The following is a 14,320-nucleotide window of genomic DNA, read 5'->3' on the forward strand; positions in this document are numbered from 1 at the left end:
TTAGTTGGCTTTGTCAGTAGGTTTTTCTATTTATTTTTTAGAGATGGTCTCGCTCTGTTGCCCTTGTTGGAGTGTGGTGGTGCAATCATAGCTCACTGCAGCTCAAGCGACTCCCCCACCCTTGGCCTCCCAAAGTGCTGAGATTACAGGTGTGATCTCCCAGATTTTATTTTTTTAAATTTAGGGTGACCGTCACCCATGGCATGGCCCTCATGAGGTCATGTGCCCTCAGGTGGATCCAGATTTTCTTTTTCTTTTTTTTTTTTTTTTTTTTTTGAGACGGAGTCTCGCTCTGTCACCCAGGCTGGAGTGCAGTGGCGCAATCTCAGTTCACTGCAAGCTCCACCTCCTGGGTTCACGCCATTCTCCCGCCTCAGCCTCCCCAGTAGCTGGGACTATAGATGCCCGCCACCACGCCTGGCTAATTTTTTTTTGTATTTTTAGTAGAGACGGGGTTTCACCGTGATAGCCAGGATGGTCTCGATCTGGCCTCGTGATCCGCCTGCCTCGGCCTCCCAAAGTGCTAGGATTACAGGCGTGAGCCACCGCGCCCGGCCAAGTGGATCCAGATTTTCTAATGCTCCATTTCTAGGAGTGAAATTACCTATATTTCTTGTCTCATCAGGGCTTTCATTAGTTGATGAAGGCTGTTAACCTGCCAACCTGCCTTGCTACCCAACATGCCTTCTTGTTAGTTAAACATAAGTAGGAAAAGACATGTTTATGTTGGCTTTGAGTGTTAATCATTCAGCAAGTATTACTGGTGTCTTCTGTGTTCTTTATTTCTGGAGGAATGATATTTGAGTTTTTAAAGCCTGACAAGTTCTGTAAATGGCCCTAGCCCTTCTGTCTTATAACGCTAGTACCCAATTTAGAGTTTAACATAAATAAATAGTCAACTGAATCTACTGAGAAGGGACTCGGTCTAGCAAGAGACATAAGCAGGCAAGGTAAAAGTTGGCAAGTGTTGTGTGACTGGTACAGGTAGTAGACTGAGGAGAGGGCGATTCTGATCAGGGAAGGCTTCATTGGAGGAGGTAGGGTTGAAACGTTCAAAGAATGAATGAGGCCGGGTGTGGTGGCTCACACCTGTAATCCCAGCACTTTGGGAGGCCGAGGTGGGCAGATCACAAGGTCAGGAGGTCGAGACCATCCTGGCTAAGATGGTGAAACCCCCATCTCAACTAAAAATACAAAAAATTAGCCAGGCGTGGTGGCGGGCGCCTGTAGTCCCAGCTACTCGGGAGGCTGAGGCAGGAGAATGGCATGAACCCAGGAGGCGGAGCTTGCAGTGAGCCGAGATCACGCCACTGCACTCCAGCCTGGGCGACAGAGCGAGACTCTGTCTCAAAAAAAAAAAAAAAAAAAAGAATGGGCTCAGGTAGGTGAAAGTAGGGATAGTAATGGGAAACCGTGGTGGTATGCAGAGAGGACATTCTCATTTAGCAAGAGTGGAAAACTGTTGTGGATCCCAGGAGAAGTCTGGAGCTAGGTAGTAGGGGCTAGATAATAGAGGGCTTTGACTAATAGGAGTTTGGGCCTTATCCTGTGGAAATCTGAAGGGTTTTGGGAAAATGAATTCAGGGCTAGGTGCAAGACAGAAGGGCAAATACCAGACTAAGACACACAGCCACTAAGAGCCTCTTTTTTTTTTTTTGTCCAGTCAGAGGTAATGAGGCCTATATATTTATTAGGAAGGATGATTAACCATGGCTGTAGCTTCACCTAAGAGGAACGTGGCTCTTGGGCCGGGTGCGGTGGCTCACGCCTGTAATCCCAGCACTTTGGGAGGTAGAGGTGGGCGGATCACCTGAGGTCAGGAGTTCAAGACCAGCCTGACCAACATGGAGAAACCTCTTCTCTACTAAAAATACAAAATTAGCCGGGCGTGGTGGTGCATGCCTGTAATCCCTGTTACTCGGGAGGCTGAGGCAGGAGAATCGCTTGAACCTGGGAGGTGGAGGTTGCGGTGAGCTGAGATCACACCATTGCACTCCAGCCTGGACAACAAGAGCAAAACTCTATCTCAAAAAAAAAGAGAGGAATGTGGCTCTTGAAGAATCTTTCTAGTCTCATCTTCCCTGTCCCCTTAGACACACCTTCAAAGATCCTTTTTCTTTTGGTTTGGCTTGTCTTTCCCCCTCACTTTACCTAATCCAGCCCAATTCCATAGCCACTGCTGGTTCCTTTAATGGAGGAGGGAAGTGGGGTGACATAGATTCTCTTAAACCTACCTATTTAAAGGCATTAATTAGCGTTTGCATGCACTACTTTAAAATTTTCCTCTCAATTGCTTGAGTCCAGGAGTTCGAGGTTACGGTGAACTATGATTTCACCATTGCAGTCCAGCTGAGGCAACAGAGAGAGACCCTCTTAAAGAAAAAAAAAACTTTTTCCTCTCAGACTCTGTCCCTAGCATTGACTCACCCCATCATTTTTTTTTTTTTTCTTGAGATGGAGTTTCAAGAAAAAACTCCAGGCTGGAGGCAGTGGTATGGTCTCGGCTCACTGCAACCTCCGCCTCCCGGGTTCAAGCGATTCTCCCTGCCTCAGCCTCCCAAATAGCTGGGATTACAGGCACCCGCCACCACACCCAGCTAATTTTTTGTATTTTTAGCAGAGACGGGGCTTCTCCATATTAGCCAAGCTGGTCTGGAACTCCTGACTTCAAGTGATCCACCCACCTTGGCCTCCCAAAGTACTGGGATTACAGGCACGAGCCACCGCGCCCGGCCTTCACCTATTATATCTATTCTTGTCTTTTAAATAGTGAGTGACTTCACAGCTCAGTCTCTTTGTTCTGAACTTCCATTCTGAGTCGCAACCCAGGTACACCTTAGGAAGGGCGGGATCCCGTTATCCTGTCCCTGAACATCAACTACTGAGACAGCTGATGAAGCTGGCTCGGTGTGTGACGGAGGCCCCCTCAGAGTCAGCAGAGCCGAGCGTACAGCGCACATCAGGCAGAGCAGACCAGAGGCAGGGAAGACACACTGGGGCAGGGCCAGTGGGCACATCTGGACCACCTGCGAGGGCTCTGCAGGGAACCGTGACTACAGGCCAGTTGTGAGTAGTCCCCTGCAGAGGCTGCCCACCCAAGGTTTGGTTGGGGTGGAACGTGATGACAGCACATACACTAAGAAGGTGGGAACCGGGGGCTGGGTGCAGTGGCTCATGCCAGTAATTCCAGCACTTAGGGAGGCCAAGGCGAGTGGATCACCTGAGGTCAGGAGTTCGAGACCAGCCTGGCCAATATCGTGAAACCCCGTCTCTACTTAAAATTGAATTTAAAAAAACTGGGGGCCAGGCCCGGTGGCTCATGCCTGTAATCCCAGCACTTTGGGAGGCCAAGGCGGGTGGATCATGAGGTCAAGAGATCGAGACCATCCTGGCCAACATGGTGAAATCCCGTCTCTACTAAAAATACAAAAACTAGCCAGACGTGGTGGTGGGCACCTGTAGTCCAGCTACTCAGGAGGCTAAGGCAGGAGAATCGCTTGAACCCGGGAGGCGGAGATCACGGTGAGCAGAGATAGCGCCACTGTACTCCAGCCTGGCGACAGAGCGAGACTGTATCTCAAAAAACAAAACAAAGCAAAACACTGGGAACAGGGTTGTCACCTACCTAGCAGGGCTCTGAGAGAGCTGGGCAGGCCCAAAGTGGCTTGAGAAGGTAAGGGAAAAATCCTAGCCTGCGCTCGGGGTCACAGAGTGGGGGCCCAGGGGGAGTTCCTGCTGAGGGCAGGGCCTTGCCAGGCTTCGGTCTCCATCCAGTGCCAAAGGTGGGAGCTCCCAGGCTGTCAGCATCTCCAGATGAGGGCAGAAGGGAGAGGCTTAAACTCAAGTCACATGTCCAGCGATGGAGTCCTATGGCCACACCGTCTGGGAAGTGAGGAGCGCCTCTGCCCGGCTGCTGTGCAACCCTCCAAGTGTGAAGTGACAGCCTTGTGTGTGATCTTTCTGCCCTCCCCAAGTTTGCATTTTCGACATTAAAGTTTACTTTTTAATTATGTTTTAAATTGGAGAATTTAAAAAAGTGACTTAATGAATTATGTGGCTGCTCTTCCTCTTCCCCAATTTTCAGTATTCTACCTGAAACTCTTTCCTCTTAACTCCCAGATCAAATAATTTTAAGCCTTCTGTAGGCTGTCTCTCTGCAGCCAAAATCAGCGATTCAGCAGTCCTCAACCTAGAGAAGCTCACAATCTAGTGGGCAGGAGACTCCTTACTTTGGTAAGTGTTCTTTGGGTCTGGACAGAGAGAGGGCAGGGTGTTTCCTGGGGAAGGTTATTCAGCTGCCCTGGCAGGTTCCCTCCAGGTAGTGTAATTACCCTCATCTGTGTTCAGGAATCTGACTCACTAATAAAGCTATATTGATCTATAAAACCAGACTCCTGGCCAGGCGCGGTGGCTCACGCCTGTAATCCCAGCACTTTGGGAGGCCGAGACGGGTGATCACGAGGTCAGGAGTTCAAGACCAGCCTGGCCAAAATGGTGAAACCTCATCTCTACTAAAAATACAAAAAAATTAGCGGGGCGTGGTGGCACGCGCCTGTAATCCCAGCTACTCCAGAGGCTGAGGCAGAGAATTGCTTAAACCTGGAGAGGCAGAGGTTGCAGTGAGCTGAGATCACACCACTGCACTCCAGCCTGGGCGACAGAGTGAGACTCCGTCTCAAAAAATAAATAAATAAAAATAAAAAAATAAAAAACCAAACTCCAGTGTGTTAATTTATGATGAAAATATATGTCAGGTAGACTGGTCCTTTGGCCTTACTAGTTTATTTTCTTCATGTAATCATACTGCTTGGGAAGCTTAGTTAAAGTTAAAAGGCAGCTCTATAAATCAAAGTGAGAGGAGTTAGTTGTTCTAGGGATGGGATGTTTACCAAAATCAAGTTACCCCTCCCACCATAAGCCTGGCTCAGTCTCTCCCCAATTCATTTTGACTCAGTGATTCCTGATTGTTTCACCTGTTCAACTTGATATTTCCTCCAGCCCCAAATGGCACAATCTTAGATGTCACTTAGATGATCGCTCTGGTTTCCATTATATTCCAGCCCTTAAGACCCGTTTGTTTTTCACATTACTTTGCTTCTCTGCTCTGTTGTGTCTGTCCTACAGCCGAATTACCAGGTTAGGAGTAGGGAGACTCTCCAAACACCATCTTCCCCAAATGTGCTACCCAGCTTATTCAAATCTGTGTGGCAGTGGTACCAGGATACAGATCTAAATAAAGTTCCCAATGTGCTAAATTATAGATGGCCTATCTGTAGAAGGGTACTGTGAGAGCTTTTCTCAGGTTATGACTAAGAGGTGTGTAAACATGAGGGAACCTTACAGGTCAAGGACAGAAATCCCGTGAATGCAGACCCAGGAAACCTGTAGACGGCTCTGCCTACAACCTTGCAGACACCCTGTGCATGCAGCAGCTGAGGCTTGTTCAGAGGGGTGGGACTCAGGGCCTTGCATTAGCACTTCCAGCCCCGCTTTGTTACCCTGGGAGCAAGGCTATGTTGGGAAGAATAGCTAGTCCTATTCCACTGGGTGTCGGGGCCTCGGGATCCATGAAACGGAAAACAGCAATAGCGTGGGCTTGCCTCTCTACACATGAAGGCCTCCTTTGATTTCAGTATAAAAACACCCATGAAGCAATGGATATGCAGATCCAGGCAAAGAAAAGGTAAAGGTAGGGAAGGGGGGAGGGGACAGCAACATTACCTCGCTTGTGACATAGGGAGCAACAAAATGCAGGCAGCCGCCAGTGGCACGCAGGCTCAGTTCTAGCAGGGGGTACTCTGGGATTTTTAGTTTCTCAGCCTTTGCAGCCAAGGAAGACTGACACCTACATCCTTGCACCCCTATCATGCATACAGCAAGACTGTATGCAGGGCCTGGTGGAGGAGGCTGGGGAATCATCATTTAACAATATCTATAATAGACATTTACAGGGCTGGTGGGATCTCAAAAAGGCCTGTAAATGCCTGAGGAATTCAGGAAGTTTTCACCAGAAAATGATGTGATAAACTGGATCTGAATGGATTAGGCATTCGCCAGGGAGACAGTGGGAAGGTAGCAGCAAGTGGGTGGGATCATTCCAGGCGAAGAAACTGCTCCAACGAGCTTGGAGCGTGAAAGCAATTGTGGATGGCTGAGAACACGAGTTTGAGTGGGGGCAGTAAGCAATGGGATCTGAGGATTTAGAAATGGGTGAATGATCTTGAATGCCAAACCCAAGAATTTTTACCTTTTCTTGAAGCATTGACACACAGCCAGGGCAGAATGAATGGCTCCCTTCTTTGTGTTTCATTCATCTTTCTGTAACAGAAGATCACTGGCTACAACATTTTGATTGTTTCTTCATCCCAAGAACCCAAGGGCCATGGAAGTGTTGCTGTTTTCATAAGTTATTAGGGTACAGGTGGTATTTGGTTACATGAGTAAGTTCTTTAGTGGTGATTTGTGAGATTTTGATGCACCCATCACCCAAGCAGTATACACCGTACCCTATTTGTAGTCTTTTATCCCTCGCCCCCCTCCCGCCCTTTCCTCCAGGTCCCCAAAATCCACTGTATCATCCTTAAGCCTTCGCGTCCTCATAGCTTAGCTCGCACATATCAGTGAGAACATACGATGTTTGATTTTCCATTCCTGAGTTACTTCACTTAGAATATTAGTCTCCAATCTCATCCAGGTCACTGCAAATGCCATTAATTCATTCCTTTTTATGGCTGAGTAGTATTCCATCGTATATATATATACACCACAGATTCTTTTTTTTTTTTCTTTGAGACGGGAGTCTTGCTCTGTTGCCCAGGCTGGAGTGCAGTGGTGTGATCTCAGCTCACTGCAACCTCTAAGCCTCCTGGGTTCAAGCGATTCTCCTGCCTCAGCCTCCTGAGTAGCTGGGATTACAGGCACATGCCACCACGCCCGGCTAATTTTTCATATTTTTAGTAGAGACGGGGTTTCACCGTGTTAGCCAGGGTGGTCTCCATCTCCTGAACTCATGATCCGCCCACCTTGGCCTCCCAAAGTGCTGGGATTACAGGCATGAGCCACTGCGCCCGGACCACAGTTTCTTTATCCACTCGTTGATTGATGGGCATTTGGGTTGGTTCCACATTTTTGCAACTGAGAATTGTGCTGCTATAAACATGTGTGTACAAGTATCTTTTTCGTATAATGACTTCTTTTCCTCTGGATAGATACCCAGTAGTGAGACTGCTGGATCAAATGGTAGTTCTACTTTTAATTCTTTAAGGAATCTCCACATAGTTTTCCATAGTGGCTGTACTAGTTTACATGCCCACCAGCAGTGTAGAATTGTTCCCTGATCACTGCATCCATGCCAACATCTACTGCTTTTTTATTTTATTTATTTTTTTAGAGACAAGAGTCTTGCACTATCCCCCAGGCTGGAGTGCAGTGGCGTGACCTTGGCTCACTGCAACCTCCAACTCCCAGGTTTAAGCGATTCTCATGCTTTAGCTTCCCGAGTAGCTGGGATTACAGGCGCCTGCCACCACGCATAGCTAATTTTTGTACTTTTAGTAGAGACAGGCTTTCATCACGTTGGCCAGGCTGGTCTCAAACTCCTGGCCTCAGGTGATCTGCCTGCCTTGGCCTCCCAAAGTGCTGGGATTACAGGCATGAGCCACCATGCCTGTTTTTTGATTTATTTATTTATTTATTTATTTATTTATTTATTTATTTATTTATTTTTTGAGACGGAGTCTGCCTGTGTAGCCCAGGCTGGAGTGCAGTGGCGCGACTCGGCTCACTGCAAGCTCCGCCTCCCGGGTTGACACCATTCTCCTGCCTCAGCCTCCCCTGTAGCTGTGATTACAGGCGCCCGCCATCACGCCCGGCTAATTTTTTGTATTTTTAGTAGCGACGGGGTTTCACCGTGTTAGCCAGGATGGCCTTGATTTCCTGACCTCGTGATCCACCCGCTTCCGCCTCCCAAAGTGCTGGGATTACAGGCATGAGCCACCGCGCCCGGCCTTTTTTGATTTTTTTACTGCGGCCATTCTTGCAGCAGTATAATGGTATCGCATTGTGGTTTTGATTTGCATTTCCCTGATCATTAGTGATGTTGAGCTTTTTTAAATATGTTTGTTGGTCATTTGTATATCTTCTTTTGAGAATTGTGTATTCATGTCCTTAGCCCACTTTTTGATGGGATTTTTTTTTCTTACTGATTTGTTTGAGTTTGTTTTTGTTATAGATTCTGGATATTAATCCTTTGTCAGATATAGATTGTGAAGATTTTCTCTCACTCTGTGGGTTGTCTGTTTACTCTGCTGGCTGTTACTTTTGCCATGCAAAATCTCTTTAGTTTAATTAAGTCCCAACTATTTGTCTTTGTTTTTATTGCATTTGCTTTTGGCTTCTTCGTCATGAAATTCTTGCCTAAGCCAATGTCTAAGTTATTTTCTAGACTTTTTATAGTTTCAGGTCTTAGATTTAAGTCCTTAATCCATCTTGAGTTGATTTTTATTTAAGGTGAGAGATGAGGATCCAGTTTCATTCTCCTACACATGGCTAGCCAATTGTCCAGGCACCATTTGTTGAAAAGGTGTCCTTTCCTCACTTTATGTTTTTGTTTGCTTTGTCAAAGATCAGTTGGGTGTAAATATTTGGGTTTATTTCTGGGTTCTCTATTCTGTTCCATTGGTCTATGTGCCTATTTATTTATTTTATTATTATTATTATTATTATTATTATTATTTTGAGATGGAGTCTCGCTCCTGTCGAGCAGGCTGGAGTGCAGTGGCGTGATCTTGGCTCGCTGCAACCTCCACCTTCCAGGTTCAAGCAATTCTCCTTCCTCAGCCTCTTGAGTAGCTGGGATTACAGGTGTGCACCACCACGCCGGGCTAATTTTTTTATTTTTAGTAGAGATGGGGTTTGGCCATGTTGGCCAGGCTGGTCTCAAACTCCTGACCTCAGGTGATCCGCCTGTCTCAGCCTCCCAAAGTGCTAGGATTACAGGTGTGAGCCACTGCACCCGGCCTATGTGCCTATTTTTATATCAGTACTATGCTGTTTTGTGACTATGGCCTTATAGTATAGTTTAAAATCAGGTAATGTGATGCCTCCAGATTTGTTCTTTTTGCTTAGCCTTGCTTTGGCTATGCAAGCTCTTTTTTGGTTCCATATAAATTTTATAATTTTTTTTTTTAGAATTGTTTTTTCTAATTCTGTGAAGAATGGTGGTGGTATTTTGATGGGGATTGCGTTGAATTTGTAGATTGCTTTTGGCAGTATGGTCATTTTCACAATATTGATTTCTACCCATCCATGAACATGGGATGTGTTTCCATTTGTTTGTGTCATCTATCATTTCTTTCAGCAGTGTTTTGTAATTTTCCTTGTAGAGGTCTTTTGCCTCCTTGGTTAGGTATATTCCTAAATATTTTATTTTATTTTTTGCAGCTATTGTAAAAGGTGTTGAGTTTTTTTTGTTTGTTTTTGTGGTTTTTTGTCTTTGTTTTGTTTTTGTTTGTTTTGAGACAGAGTCCCACTCCATTGCCCAGGCTGGAGTGCAATGGCGTGATCTTGACTTGCTGCAATTTCCGCCTCCCAGGTTCAAGTGATTCTCCTGCCTCAGCCTCCCAAGTATTTGGGATTACAGGCACCTGCCACCATGCCCAGCAAATTTTTATATTTTTAGTAGAGACGGGGCTTCACCAAGTTGGCCAGGCTGGTTTCAAACTCCTGACCTCAGGTGATCCACCCACCTTGCCTTCCCAAAGTGTTGGGATTACAGGTGTGAGCCACCACACCCAGCCTCCCTCCCTCCCTCCCTCCCTCCCTTCCTTCCTTCCTTCCTTCCTTCCCTCCCTCCCTCCCTCCCTCCTTCCTTCCATTCTCTCTGTCTCTCTGTCTCTCTCTCTTTTTGACAGGGTCTTGCTCTGTCACCCAGACTGGAGTTCAGTAGCTCAATCATGGCTTACTGCAGCCTGGAGTTCAGTAGCTCAATCATGGCTCACTGCAGCCTCAACCTTTTGGGCTCAAGTGATCCTCCTGCCTCAGCCTCCTGAGTAGCTGGGACTACAAGCAACACACCACCATGCCCAGCTAATTTTTTTTTAATTTTTTTTGTTGTTGTTGTATTGACAAGATCTCACTATGTTGCTCAGGCTGGTCTCGAACTCCTGGGCTCAAGCAATCCACTTCAGTCTCCTAAAGTGCTGGGATTACAGGCATGAGCCATCATGCTTAACCCTGCATGGTATTTCTGAGGAATGATATGATGAAATCTGTATTTTAGGATGACCAGTCATGCAGAACAGATTGGAGTGAGGAGTTGGGAGACAAGAAGGAAGAGATAAATTGGAAATTTGTTGAAGGAATATTTGACAGAACTTGTGCTGTAATTAAATACTAAATGAAAGAAAAGGAAAAGGCAGAATACAACTCCAGAGTTTGCTGCCTAAGTGGCTGGGAAGATGACACCATCAACAAACAAGAAAAGGGGCAGGGGACTGGAAAAGGTAGTGATAACTCGCCACTAGCACTTTGTGGGCAAGGGCCATGAGTTACCAGTTATATAATCCTGCAGTATTCAGCTGGACATACAAGAGGTCTTCACAAAGTTTATGAAAAATGTGTATTATGAAAAAACTATGCATAGATTTCAAAAAATTTTTGCACCAAAATAAATTTGTACTAACTTGTTATAACATGTCTGAGCAGGATCTACTTTGAGGCACTATGAAGGATAAGACATTAGTTTGAAAAGAGCCCCTATAAGAGTAACATGAATTCTGCTAAAATTGAAGCAAGAACAAATATCAAGTTTATGGTTAAGCTTGGGTGGAAGAATGGTGAGATCATTGAAGCTTTACGAAAAGCTTATGGGGACAATGCCTCAAAGAAATCAGCAGTTTACAAATAGATAAATTGTTTTTTGTTGTTGTTTTTTGAGAGGGAGTCTCACTCTGTCACCCAGGCTGGAGTGCAGTGGCATGATCTAGGCTCGCTGCAGCCTCTGCCTCCCACGTTCCAGTGATTCTCCTGCCTCAGCCTCCCTGGGTAGCTGGGATTACAGGCGCCTGCCACCACGCCCGGCTAATTTTTGTATTTTTAGTAGAGATGGGGTTTTGCCATGTTGGCCAGGCTGGTCTTGAACTCCTGACCTCAGGTGATACACCTGCCTCGGCCTCCCAAAGTGCTGGGATTACAAGCATGAGCCACCGCACGTGGCCAGATAATTTGTTTTAAGAAGGGATGAGATTAGGCCGGGCTGTGCCTCTACTACAGACTCCTAGTATTTATTTTCTTTAAGAATACTTGGCCAGGCGTGGTGGCTCATGCCTGTAATCTCAGCACTTTGAGATGCTGAGGCAGGCGAATCACCTGAGGTCAGGAGTTCAAGACCAGCCTGGCCAACATGGTGAAACCCCGTCTCCACCAAAAATACAAAAATTAGCTGGGCATTGTGGTGGGCTCTTATAATCCCAGCTACCTGGGAAGGCTGAGGCAGGAGAACTGCTTGAACCCAAGAGGCGGAGGTTGCAGTGAGCCGAGACCACGCCATTGCACTCCAGCCTGGGCGACAGAGCAAGACTCCATCTCCAAAAAGAAACAAAATAAAGAAGGGATGAAATGATGTTGAAGATGAAACCCACAGTGGCAGACCATCCACATCAATTTATGAGAAAAACATTTTGTGTCCTAACTGAAGTGGATTGACAACAGCAGAAATAATAATCAATACCATAGGCATCTCACTTGGTTCGGCTTACATAATTCTGACTGAAAAACTAAAGTTGAGCAAACATTCCACTTGGCAGGTGCCAAACCATCATGCCCAGATCAGCTGCAGAGCTTTCAATGGGAATTTTAAACAAGCAGGATGAAGATCCTGAAGCATTTCTTTGAAGAATTGTAATAGGAGATGAAACATGGCTTTACCAGTACAATCCTAAAGACAATGCACAATCAAAGCAATGGCTACCAAGAGGTGGAAGTGTCTGGTCAAAGCAAAAGTGGACCAGTCAAGAGCAAAGGTCATGTCATTCGTTTTTTTTTTTTTAATGTTCAAGGCATTTTGTTTATTGACTTTCTGGAGGGCCAAAGAACAATAACATCTGCTTATTATGAGAGTGTTTTGAGAAAACTAGCAAAAGTTTTAGCAGAAAAATGCCTGGGAAAGCTTCACCAGAGTCATTCTCCGCTATAACAATGTTCCTGCTCATTTCTCTCAGCAAACAAGGGCAATTTTGCAAGAGTTTTGATGGGAAATCATTAGGCATCCACCTTACAGTACTGATCTGGCTCCTTCTGACTTCCTTTTGCCTTTTTTTTTTTTTTTTTTGGAGACAGAGTTTTGCTTTTGTTGCCCAGGCTGGAGTGCAATGGTGCGATCTCGGCTCCCTGCAACCTCTGCCTCTCCAGTTCAAGCGATGCTCCTGCCTCAGCCTCCTAAGTAGCTGGGATTACAGGTGCCTGCCACCACACCTGGCTAATTTTTTGTATTTTTAGTAGAGACAGGGTATCACCATGTTGGTCAGGCTGGTCTTGAACTCCTGAACTCAGGTGATCTGCCTGCCTCAGCCTCCCAAAATGCTGGGATTACAGGCATTAGCCACTGCACCTGGCCCTTGTTTTCTAATCTTAAAAAACTCTTTCAAGGGCACCCCATTTTTTCTTAGGTTAATAATGTATAAAAGAGGCTGCCTTATCCTTACAAGCAGCCTGCCCTCAACTCTCTCTCAGAGTGTTAAAAAAAAATGTATAAAAGGGCCAGGCATGGTGGCTCATGCCTGTAATCTCAGCACATTGGGAGGCCCAGGCAGGAGGATCACTTGAGCCCAGGAGCTGGAGACCAGCCTGGGAAACATAAAGAGATACTGATCTCCACAAAAAATTTTTTTAAAGAATTAGCTTGGCCGGGCGCAGTGGTTCACGCCTGTAATCCCAGCACTTTGGGAGGCTGAGGCGGGCAGATCACGAAGTCAACAGATCTAGACCATCCTAGCCAATATGGTGAAACCTCGTCTCTACTAAAAAAAAATACAAAAATCAGCTGGGAGTGGTGGCGCACACCTGTAGTCCCAGCTATTCAGGAGGCTGAGGCAGGAGAATCGCTTGAACCTGGGAGGTGGAGGTTGCAGTGAGCCAAGATTGCACCACTGCATTTCAGCCTGGTGACAGAGTGAAGCTCTGTCTCAAAAAAAAAAAAAAAAAAAGAATTAGCTGGGCACAGTGGCATGTCTGTAGTCCCAGCTACTTGGGAGGCTAAGCAGGAGGATTGCTTGAGCCCTGGAGTTTGAGGCTGCAGTGATCTATGATAGCACTACTGCACTCCAGCCTGGGTGATGGAGTGAGACCCTATCTCAAATAAAATAATAATTATAATAAAGACTGCCAGGCACATGGTGGCATGCACATGTGGTCCCAGCTATTTGGGAGGCTGAGGTGGGAGGATCACCAGAGCCCAGGGAGGTTGAGGCTGCAGTGAACTGTGATTGCACCACTGCACTCCAGCGGGGCAATGGGAGTGAGAATCTGTCTCAAAAGTAATAATTATATATATATATATTTATATATATATATATATATATATATATATATATATATATATATATGTTCTAGTATTTTCCTCCCATACCTCCAATGTATAATATCTCATGCACCCTGTGGTCCACCCCCCAAAGACATACACACAACACTTTAGAGTCTCTGATGTAGTCAAAGGGAGTCATTGGAGGTTCTGGAACAGATGACAGGCATGGTAGCAGTTGATTCACAAACTGAAAGCTGAGACATCAAAGAACTGCGACTGCCTTGGAATGTTTCCCATGTGCTAGCCACCGCCTCAGTGCTTTATACATAAATCAGTTAATCCCTATAGCAAGCCTCCATTGTGAATACCATAATTATCTTAACAGACGAGGAGACTGAGGCACAATGAAGTTAAGAAACTTTCCTAGAGTCACACGAAATTGGTGGGGGCCTACTTTTTTTTTTTTTTTTTTTTTTTTTTTTTTTTTTTTTTGAGACTGAATCTAGCTCTGTCGCCAGGCTGGAGTCCAGTGGCGCGATCTCACCTCACTGCAACCTCCGCCTCCCGGATTCAAGCGATTCTCCTGCCTCGGCCTCCCCCCACTAGCTGGGATTACAGGCACTCGCTGCCACACCCAGCTAATTTTTGTATTTTTAGTAGAGACAGGGTTTCACCATATTGGCCAGGATGGTCTCGATCTCCTGAGCTTGTGATCCGCCCACCTCGGCCTCCCATAGTGCTGGGATTACAGGCCTGAGCCACTGCGCCCGGCTGGGGGCCTACATTTGACCCCACGTGGTG

General features: G+C 46.1%; 5 annotated features.

Moving 5' to 3' along the window:
- Window positions 2,047-2,216: an enhancer, noted in NCBI's record as "experimental_7853 CRE fragment used in MPRA reporter constructs". NCBI's record gives its function as "activates a minimal promoter by MPRAs in K562 erythroleukemia cells, with activity observed for both the introgressed and non-introgressed 1:39479166 variant alleles {active_cell/tissue: K562}" and the evidence as "EXISTENCE:reporter gene assay evidence [ECO:0000049][PMID:34662402]".
- Window positions 3,019-3,518: an enhancer, noted in NCBI's record as "H3K4me1 hESC enhancer chr1:39480053-39480552 (GRCh37/hg19 assembly coordinates)". NCBI's record gives its function as "activates a minimal SCP1, AML or CMV promoter by ChIP-STARR-seq in naive H9 embryonic stem cells {active_cell/tissue: H9 hESC(naive)}" and the evidence as "EXISTENCE:reporter gene assay evidence [ECO:0000049][PMID:30033119]".
- Window positions 5,803-6,511: an enhancer, noted in NCBI's record as "H3K27ac hESC enhancer chr1:39482837-39483545 (GRCh37/hg19 assembly coordinates)". NCBI's record gives its function as "activates a minimal SCP1, AML or CMV promoter by ChIP-STARR-seq in primed H9 embryonic stem cells {active_cell/tissue: H9 hESC(primed)}" and the evidence as "EXISTENCE:reporter gene assay evidence [ECO:0000049][PMID:30033119]".
- Window positions 6,169-6,338: an enhancer, noted in NCBI's record as "experimental_7858 CRE fragment used in MPRA reporter constructs". NCBI's record gives its function as "activates a minimal promoter by MPRAs in K562 erythroleukemia cells, with activity observed for both the introgressed and non-introgressed 1:39483288 variant alleles {active_cell/tissue: K562}" and the evidence as "EXISTENCE:reporter gene assay evidence [ECO:0000049][PMID:34662402]".
- Window positions 8,870-9,039: an enhancer, noted in NCBI's record as "experimental_7860 CRE fragment used in MPRA reporter constructs". NCBI's record gives its function as "activates a minimal promoter by MPRAs in K562 erythroleukemia cells, with activity observed for both the introgressed and non-introgressed 1:39485989 variant alleles {active_cell/tissue: K562}" and the evidence as "EXISTENCE:reporter gene assay evidence [ECO:0000049][PMID:34662402]".

The sequence above is a fragment of the Homo sapiens genome, chromosome 1 (assembly GCF_000001405.40).
Source record: "Homo sapiens chromosome 1, GRCh38.p14 Primary Assembly".
In the NCBI taxonomy this organism is placed as follows: Eukaryota; Metazoa; Chordata; class Mammalia; order Primates; family Hominidae; genus Homo; species Homo sapiens.